The following is a 10,667-nucleotide window of genomic DNA, read 5'->3' on the forward strand; positions in this document are numbered from 1 at the left end:
GGGCTGTGGTGGCATTTCCTCTTTCTTCTCTTTTCTTCCTTGTCTCCCTCTCTTCCTTCCTTCTATAAAAATTATCTTTTAGTTACAGTACTCTTATATGAGAAAAATACATTTACAGTAGAAATAGAAAAGAAAGAATTTCTCATAGACCATCATTACATAGATATCGAATATGTGTATTTATATATGATATTTAAAAATGTCATGACAAGAAGAAAGAAAAGCTTTAGAAAATAAAATTAATTTCATAAGTCTTGTTATATTGTACTTAAGAATACTGGACTAAATGTTTAAAAAATCATAATGACACTCAGAGACTCATGTTAACAATTTTCCTTAAGGCCCTTGGTTGAAAGCTTTAGACTTTATTGAGGCTACGTTGAAAACCATTGCTCTACTTCCCTTAATAATTCTTTGGCTTCCCAAGGAAGCATGTGCACTCATACCTTGCCTTTCTCTTACTGCTTCTTTGGCCAGGACAGTAGATTTTGCACAACTCCAGGGGGCATCTTTCATGTTGTGTTCTAAGGGCTCCACAATAGGGCATTCACAGGGACTACAATGTCAGTTGTGTCCCCAGCATAGTACAGGGGCTGAGTACCACTGCTGAGTAGGAAGGATGCTGTCAGCTTCAGTCCCTCCATCTGGAAGGGGCCTTGGAAAGAGAATGAAGAGATACTGGCTTGGTCTGAGAACAGTGACTTGGAGTTAGAGCCACTTTTCTAGACAAAATGGTTGGCCCTCCTTCATCTGGGTACTGTTGGTACAAAGGATTTCCACCAGAGATGTAAGACAAGAGGACAGAGCAGGATGCTCTGGGAGATCTAGGAGAAATAATATAGACTGCCCCTGAGGCATCTTGGAAAATGTGGGAGCTTCTGTGAGTCACTGCCACCCTAGTCCAGAGATGATGGAGGACCAATATTTAGTCTGAAAGATCTTGTTAGTGTCATTATTCAATTGTCCTGTTAGAATGGAATGAATGTCAGGAAATGCTTACAGGACACATACATTAGCTGAAATACTAAAAACAAACAAACAAAAAACAAACAAAAAAACTCACTCTCTCCTTAAAAGAAGTGCTCCTTCACAGTGGGACATACTAACCCTCTCCTGCATAGGTGTTCTACTCTGGACTCTCAAAGCTTTCACCTAGCTTTCAGCACTCTTACCTCACTCTTACCTCAAATTTCTTTTTTCCCACATGATATTCTACATGGTCATTGTTCTCTTGAAACCCAGCTTGTCAAATCTGAACTCCTGGTCCCCTAACCAGCTTCTTCTCCAAATTTCCATACTTCATGTCTTCAGCACAACCCTTCTTCTGTGTGAGAAGATGTTGAAGTATGGTGTTGTTTTGCAAGACAGCAAGTAAGATGGACAGACATTGGCAAGCTTTTGGGCGAGGTAAACGTGTTCAAATCCAGAATTATCCACACATCATGGCTATAGAGAGAGTGAAAAATTATCCATGGTGCATCCCTGGCCTTAATGTTTCCTTGTAGTCTCCCTCTACTCTAAAACTGAGACAAAATCTTGCTGATTTTGCTCTTTAATGACTCTTACTTTGTCTTTTTATCCTCTGATTTGAACTCTTACCATGTCACAACTGGGCTGTTGCAGCAGTTCCTTCTTGGTTTGCCCTGTATTTACCCAATCTCATTTATGCATGCATGCATGCATTCATTTAAAAATAATTAATGAACGTTATTCATGACATAGGTGCTAGGGAGGTGACAACATCAAACAGAGAAGAATCTTTCTTCTAAAGGATTTGGTAGTTGTAGGGGAAGGAGGTGGGTAAGATAATAACAACAAAAGTAAGTCAAGTCCATTAAAATATACTGAGATAGTGCTGGGGTTTTCAGAGGAGAGAGAGAAACTACTCTGTATGCAGTGGATAAGAGGGCTTCTCAGAGGAATGGCCTTCAGGCCATGACTTTGAAGAATGGGCAGATAGGATGGCTCGCCTGAGCAAGATGGAGGAAGGACTAGTTTCAACAAAGGAAAATACAAGAACCAGAGAGTACATTGTGCATGCTGGGTTTAGTAAGCTGTTTGGTGTAGTGAGAACACAGGGTATGTTTATGGGCATTAATGAGAGGTGAGGTGTGCTAGGAGTTTCCAGTGTGGGCTGTAAATGTCAGGCTCAGAGTTTTGATTTAGTTGGAAGGCAATGGGGAACTTTTAAGATTTGGAGGCAGCATGACAGTGTGAGATGCTTCACCAACCTACACCCTAGTAAAACTGGTGAAAAATATTAAAAAAACAAAACAAAACCATTCAGAGTCCTAAAATGGCTGTAAAAGCAAACAACAAGTGAAAAAACATCTATCCAAGAAAATCTATGAAAGTTCAGTAAGAAAGATAAGAGTGTAGTATATGAACCAAAATCCCTTGTTCCCTTCCCCTCTAAGCTCTGTGGGTAGAGATTACACTCCAGACTGGTGCAGCTAAGGACACAGAGCTTCCTCTCCTCCCAGCTGCCAGTCAGTGGGCTGTCTTTCCAGGAGGGTCAGGATTTCAGTGTGTCTCATCCTGCCCCCAGCTACCTGTTGCTAAGGTAAGCTCCAGACAAGTGCAGTCAAGAGCAAGGAGGTGGGGAGTTTAAGGAAGGGGAAGGGGAGAGAAGAGAAGAGGGGAAGTGGAAGGGGGCTCACTTCTGCCCAGCCCCAATTCATGGAATGGAGTCTACCTTGGATGTGGCATGCTGAGAACACTAGGGCTCTTATTTCCTTTGCCCAGGCTCTGGTTTCACACCAGAAGAGGCAAGCCAAAGGACATGATCCCCCCTCCAGGAAGTACTTAGCTCTCAGAGCAGGGAAATCATTTAGAGAGAAGATTGTCATTGTCCCTATCCCCAGTCCAGAGCCCTGACTCAGAGATTTTTGCCAGAAGGGAGATGCAGGACATGAAACAGGTAGCTCCTTTCTCTTCTCATGAAAACTAACATCATTTGCAGGAGAACCTGGAGAAGTTTAAATCTATGGGCACTCTCAAGAAAGTGGAGATTGTAATGACAGGCAATTGGAAGGGGATTTATAGATCTAATGAAGATACAGCCGGGACTATAGCCCAGCTAGTTTGCAGGAGAGAACTGAGGGATGACAGCTGGGAGGAGTCCTCTTGGGTACAGAACAAATACCAGACTCTGGGATCAGAACAAATATCAAACTCTGGCTTCAGAAACTATTCCTTCAAATGAGCTACAGTTTGGAATTTGTGCCCAGGGAATTGTTGAAAACAATACAGGAGGCCATTGGCAACCAGTGGAGTTTAATAGCTGGGCATGGCCTGGGAAGAGGAAGAGAGTCCTACCTGTACCACTGTCATCCCAGGGTGCCTGTGGACATACCCATAGCAAAGCAGCCTTAGGAGGAACATCAGCTGCTGAACCCTGGTGGTGGTGAGCAGGAATAGTCTTCACTAAAATAATTGAGCCAATCACTAAAAAACAAACAAGAAGTAGCAGTACCAAGCGCTGGTGAGGGAGAGACCAGGACCCAGAAGTGTTACAATATACAATCTAAAATGTTCAGTTTCCAATAAAAATTATGAGGCATGCAAATAAATAGTAAAGTAGATCCTATACACCAGTAAAAAAGCAGGCCGGGTGTGGTGGCTCACAACTGTAATCCCAGCACTTTGGGAGGCCGAGGCGGGTGGATCAAGAGGTCAGGAATTCGAGACCAGCCTGACCAACATGGCGAAACCCCATCTCTACTAAAAATAAAAAAAAATTAGCCGGGCGTGGTGGCGCATGCCTGTAATCCCAGCTACTCGGGAGGCTGAGGCTGGAGAGTCGCTTGAACGCGAGAGGCGGAGGTTGCAGTGAGCCGAGATCGCGACATTGCACTCCAGCCTGGGCAATAATTGCAAAACTCCGTCCCAAACAAACAAACAAACAACAACAACAACAACAACACCGGATGGCACAAAGTACTTTTCAGATGCCAGATTTAACAAAAATAGATTTCAGAATATGAAATCTATTATAAATATGTTCACAGACTTAAAGGAAAACATGATTAAAGAAGTAAAGAAGGGTATGATGTTGCATCAGATAGATAATATCAATGCAGAAAAATTATGAAAAAAAGAGAACTAAATGGAAATGCTGGAGTTGAAAAGTACAGTAACTGAAATACAAAATTCTCTAAAAAGGGTCCATGGTAGATTTGAACTTCCAGAAGAAAGAATTAGTGAACTTGGAGATAGGTCAACATATAAAAAGTGAAAACTTTTCAACTCATTTTATGAGACTATTATTACCCAGATACCACAACCAGACAAAGACATCAGAGCAAAAGTATAGATCATATATCTCTTATGAGTATGGACACACAAATTCTCAACAAAATGTGATCAAATTGAATACAGCAACATATTAAAAGAATCTTGATCAGTAGGGAATATATCCCATGATCAGTGGGATTTATTCCAGGGGTGCAAAGTTATTTTAGCATCTGAAAATTAATTAATTAAAATAATATTAATTATTTTAGCATCTAAAATTTAATAAAATTAATAAGTCATAGGATAAAAACAAAAAAATTACATGATCATCTCAGTAGATGCAGAAAATAATTGACAAACAAAAATACCCTTTTATAATAAAAATATTCAGCAAACTAGGAATAAAAGGGAACTTCCTCAAGCTGATGAAAGAGATCTAGGAAAAACCCACAGCTGACATTATACTTGATGAAAGACTATAGGCTTTTTGCCTAAGATCAGGAACAAGACAAAGATATCTGCTCTTGCCACTTCTACCTGTACTGGAGGATATATTCAAGAAAAATAAATAAATGGCATTCAGATTGGAAAGGAAGAAGTAAAAGAAACTCTATTTGAAGATAACACCATCTGCTATTTAGAAATTCCTAAGGAATATACTAAAAGTCCATTAGAACTAATAAATGAGTACAGCAACATTGCAGGATATGAAATCAAGATTAAAAAATCAATTATATTTCTATATGCTTGCAATAAACAATTCAAAAATAAAATTAACCAATTTTATTCATAATAACATCAAAAAGAATAAAATATTTAAAAATAAATTGAAAAAAGAAGTGTAAAATTTATATTCTGAAAGCTATAAAACACTGCCAAAAGAAACTAAAGAGGCTCTAACTAAATGGGAAAATATTTCATGTTCATGGATTAGAAGACTTAACATTGTCAAGATGGCAACATACCCCAAAATGATCTACAAATTAAGTGTTGTCTCTATCAGAATCTCAGCTGACTTCTCTGACAATCTGACTTTAAAATTCATAATGTATGCAAAGAACGCAGAAAAGCCAAAGCAATCCTGAAAAGAAAAATACAAAGTAGGAGGACTCATACTTTCTGTTTTCAAAAATTACTACAAAGTAATGGTAATGAACATAATGTGGTGTTGGCACAAAAATAGACAAGTTGAGAGTCCGTTGACAAGCCCATACATTAATAATTAACTGATTTTCAACAAGGGTACCAAAAGCAATCAATAATCTTTTCAACAAATGATCCATAGGCAAAAGAGTGAAGTTGGTCCCCTACCATATACCATAACAACAATTAACTCAAAAATCTATCAAAGACCTAAATGTAAGACCTAAAACTAAAAAACTCTTAGAAGAAAACATAGGGGTAAGTCTTCAAGACTCTGAACTCGGCAAAGATTCTTAGATATGATACCATCAGCATGAGCAACAAAAGTATAATAGATAAATTGGACTTCCTCAACTTTAAGCCTTGTGTGCTTCAAGTGACACCATTAGGAAAGTGAAAGACATCCACTGAATGGTCAAAAATATTTGCATATCATATATCTTATAAGGGACTGGCATTTAAAATATATAAGAAACAATTACAACTCAACAATATCAAGACAAATAGCCCAATTAAAAATAGGCAAAGGGACTGAACAGACTTTTCTTCAAAAAAGATGTATTAAATGGCCTATAAGCACATGAAAAAGTCTTTGGCATTATTAGTCGTGAAGGAAGTACAAATCAAAGTTATCACTTCACATCCACTAGGATACCTAGAACCAAAAATTCTGATAACAGTAAGTGTTTATGAGGATCTGGATACATCAGAACCCTCTTAGAATACTGGTGGGATTGCAAAATGGTGCAACTGCTTTGAAAAATAGTCTGGAAGTTTTCCAAATGTTTAAACATAGAGCTACCATATGACCCAACAATTCTGCTCCTGGGTGAATGCCACTTCTAGGTATACGCCCAAGATAAATGAAAATGTATGTCCATTCAAAAACTTATATATAAATGTTCATAGAGGCATTATTCACAATAGCCAAAAGGTGGAAATAAATCAAATGTCCATCAATGGACAAACGGATACACATTTGTCAATTGTGGTATATCTAGACAATGAAATATTAATCAACCATCAAAAAGAATGAAGTACTGATAATGCTACAACATGGATGAACCTTGGAAACATGCTAAGTGAAAGAAGCTAGTCACATGCAATTATACATTATAATTCCATTTACATGAAAGTGCAGAATAGGGAAATCTATAGAGACAGAAAGTAGATTAATGGTTGCTTAGGGCTGGGAAGGGAGGATGGAGGATGACTGCTAAAGAGTTCAGGGTTTCTTGTTGAAGTGATGAAAATGTTCCACACTTGGCCTATGGTGATGGCTGTACATTTAAAGCTATACTAAAAGCCATAACATGGGTGAATTTTATGATATGTTAATTCTGTCTCAATAAATTTGTTAAAAAGAAAGATTTTTCAGTAGGAGCAACTCTGTCAGTGTTGAGATTTAGAAAGAAGACTCAGGGAGCAATGATTGTCATGGGATTTGAGAAGATAAAGGAGATTAGAAAGCCAGATAGAAGTTGGTGAAACTTATTTATGTTGCAAATGCTGAAGATCAAAGGAGATTAGAAAGCCAGATAGAAGTTGGTGAAACTTATTTATGTTGCAAATGCTGAAGATCAAAGTAGAAGGAAGCAGATTGGGGTACACAAGGGACGGAGAATCAATCTCTGGAAAGAATCACCTGTGCTTGCTGACTCCACCTTCTCTCCTATTCTCTTTTGAACACTTCCTAATCAACTGCAAGCGCTGATTATAATTGGTTTATAACACACTCTCATTATTGAGCCACGCCTGGTCCTCTCTTGTTTATTTGTTCTATTTTTTAATAGTGCAATAAAGATCCATCAAATACCCATCCAACTTAACCAGAATTCTGACAACCTATATGGAATTAATCACTCACTGCTTTTCTTTGCATATGTTTTATCTATATCTATTTTTTAAACATATATTTTTATTTTAGATGATTTCAGTTACTTTTTTAACATCATAAAAAGTGTACCATGCAGAAAATGATCTTTAGGGACTTGGCTTTTAAACTGATGCTGTAAAGCTGCCAGTCTCTTGATTGTTTTATGCACCTGCTGTTTATTTATTTAGGCTTCTACAGGGTCCTCTCTCTTGAAAATACACCACAGTTTATTGATCCAGGCTGCTGATGATGGGAACTCGGTTATCTTCAGGTTTTAAAAAATTGTCTACAGTGCTGCAAAAATATTCTTGTACATGTGTGTACATGTATTTCTTAGATTAGATCCCCAGAAGGCAGATACTAAGAGAAAGACTCAGGGAAGCAACTTACTAGGCAGCGTTCTCATGAAAAATCAATATGGTTATGAGGAAATGGGACCCAGAAGGTGGGAAGGCCAATCCAGGCCAAGCCACACTGAACTCCACAGAAGTTCAATTCATCAAGATAGGGAGGGTCACACCTCAGAGTGGCCGAGGCAGGGCAAAGGGAGCTGGTATTTCATGTTCTCTGAGATGATTTTACATTGTCTTTTTTTATGTTGGTTGTCGCTGGTAGACAGAAATAAAATTCACATTTGCATATTTTTATACCTGGCCATACTGCTAAATACTTTTATTATTTATAATAATTTGTAGATTCTGTTATTTCCATGTAAATATCTGCAAGTAGTGACAGTATTTTTCAACTGTCAAGTCTCTTTTTTATCTTACTGTACAAACTGTTACTGTTCTCTCATACTGTGTTGAATGGAAATGGTAAGAGTGAATATCCTCGTCTGATTTATTATTTTAAAGAGATTGTTTCTAATGTTTCTCCATTTACAATGGTGCTTGCTGGGTTTTGTTCTTCAATATATACACATCATCAGATAATGGGCATTCCCTTGCATTCTTAATTTATTAACAGTTTTTGTTGGGTTGAATTTTGTAAACTGCTTTTACTGTTTCCATTAAATATCACTTCTCTCTTTAATATATTGTGATATATATATATTTATATGTTTTCTAATATTAAATTATTTTATATGCCTGGAGTAAACCGCAGTTGGAAACAGTGTAATGCTTTTAATAGGGACTATGGAGTTTGCTTTATTAATGATTTCCTTGGGGTTTTTCATTAATGAGCAAAATAGGCCTGTATTTGTCTTTGCTTGATTTTGGCTTTGGGGTTATACATACTGGTTTTGTAGAATAACTTGAGGTATATTCTTTCCTTTTACAGCTTCTTAAAAAGTTTTTGTTGAATTGGACGATCTGTTTCTCAAGCACTTGGTGTAGAACTTAAATAACTTGGTGATTTCTTTGTGAGAATGTTTAAACTAGTTGACCATGCCCTCACTTTTAAAGACAGTTTATCTGGGTATAGAACTCTAGCTTCTAAATTATTTCCCTCATCTTCCTGTGTCTAGAGTCACTCTTTAAAAACGTGGTGTCAACGGATACTCATTTCTTTATCTGTGATATGTTCTTTCTGTGCTGAAACTTTGCTATTTTAAGATTTCACCATAATTTACCAAGCAATGCTTTTGAAATTATCTCTTTTTACATTCTATGAGGTCTTTCAATATAAAGTCTTCCCCTTTTTCAATCCTAGAGAAAATTACCTCTGTGATTTCTTTAGTTATTTCTTAAGACTTCTGTTATCTGTAACGGATACAGAAACGGTTCTGTCCTTCATTTCTCTCAACTGATCTTTTGTATTTCCCAGTCATTATTCTTTCTGCTTCCTTCTAAGAGAGTTCCTCCACTTGTTCTTCCCCTTTACTAAATTGTCCTTTAGCTGTAGCCATTCTTTTTTTTTTTTTTTTTTTTTTTGAGATAGGGTTTTGCTTTGTCACTCAGGCAGGAGTGCAGCGGCACAAACATGGTGGGCTCAAACAATCCTCCCACATCAGCCTTCCAAGCAGCTGGGACCACAGGTGCACACCATCATGCCTGGCTCTTTATTTTTATTTTTTGTAGAGATAGGTTCTCACCATGTTGCCCAAGCTTGTCTCAAACTCATAGGCTCAAGTGATCTTCCAACCTTGGCCTCCCAAAGTTCTGAGATTACAGATGTGTGCCACTGTGCTTGGCCTAGCTGTTATCATTTTTTAAAAATTCCATCTGCTTTATTTTTCATTTCAACTATTAGATATTTCATACTGCTATGGCTTGAATGTGTCCCTCCAAAATTTGGGTGTTGAAACTTAATGGCCAATGTGATGGTAAGAGGTGGGGCCTTTAAGGGTGATTAGGTCATGAGAGCTCCTCAATAATGCATATATCAAAATAGTTCTAAGAGAGGATTTTGAATGCTCTCACCACAAAGAAATGATAAATGTTTGAGATGATGGATATACTAATTACCCTGACTTGATTATTATACAATGTATACATGCATTATATACATGCACACTGTACCCCATAGATATGTACAAATAATCATTTTGTCAATTAAAAACAAACAAAAGAGTAACCTTCTCAATGAGGCCTTCCTTGGCTAGCTTTTCTAAAAATGAAAGAAAGGAAGGAAAGAATGGAAGGAAGGAAGGAAGGAAAGGAGGGAGAGAGAAGATGAAAAAAACCCCTGCATTAACAATACTTGACACTTCACATTTCCCTTTATTTTTTCCCCATAGCACTTAACACTATTGACCACCCTATCTATCCCACTGACTAATCTTGTTTATTGTCTTTATTTACAAGGGCAGTGATTTTATATGGCTTGTTCACTGCTATGTGCCCTTCTAGAACATAAAAAGTAGATAAACAATTATGCCTGAATGTGGGACAAGGAGAGAAGCCAAGACAATTTCCAAGGTTTGGGAAGGTGGCTGGACCAGGAGGTCAGGGTTCTATACTTCTTGGAGATGACCAGTGGGCTGATGGAAATGTAGGCTCATTGCTCATTCATGAAGTAGAGGCAGGGGCATAAAACATGCAGCAAGTTTTTCTGAATGAAAAGAAACAAATCATGTTCACTGTGGAAATTGTTGAGATTGTATCAAAATAGAAATAAAACAAGGACATTACCTACACTCACATAGCCAAGGTTAATATTTTGGTGTATTTTATTTTGGTTTTATGTGTGTGTGTACACAATATAATTGCATTCTGCTTTTCTTTTAGCCCACCACAGACATTTTTCTTGCTGTAACTCTTATTCAAAAACATTTTTAGTGGTGGCATAATATTTCTTTGTACCAATGCATTTCAGTGTAAAATGCCCTTGTACTTAACTGTCTGTGCACGTCTCTGATGATGCCTGTGGGATTTGTTTCTCCAGTGGGATGACTAGTTCAAGGAGTTTGATCAGATCAGAAATGTCCCTCTAGACAGGCTGCCACAGCAGAGAACCTGGAATCCCATTA

This window comes from Homo sapiens, chromosome 7, assembly GCF_000001405.40.
Source record: "Homo sapiens chromosome 7, GRCh38.p14 Primary Assembly".
In the NCBI taxonomy this organism is placed as follows: domain Eukaryota; kingdom Metazoa; phylum Chordata; class Mammalia; order Primates; family Hominidae; genus Homo; species Homo sapiens.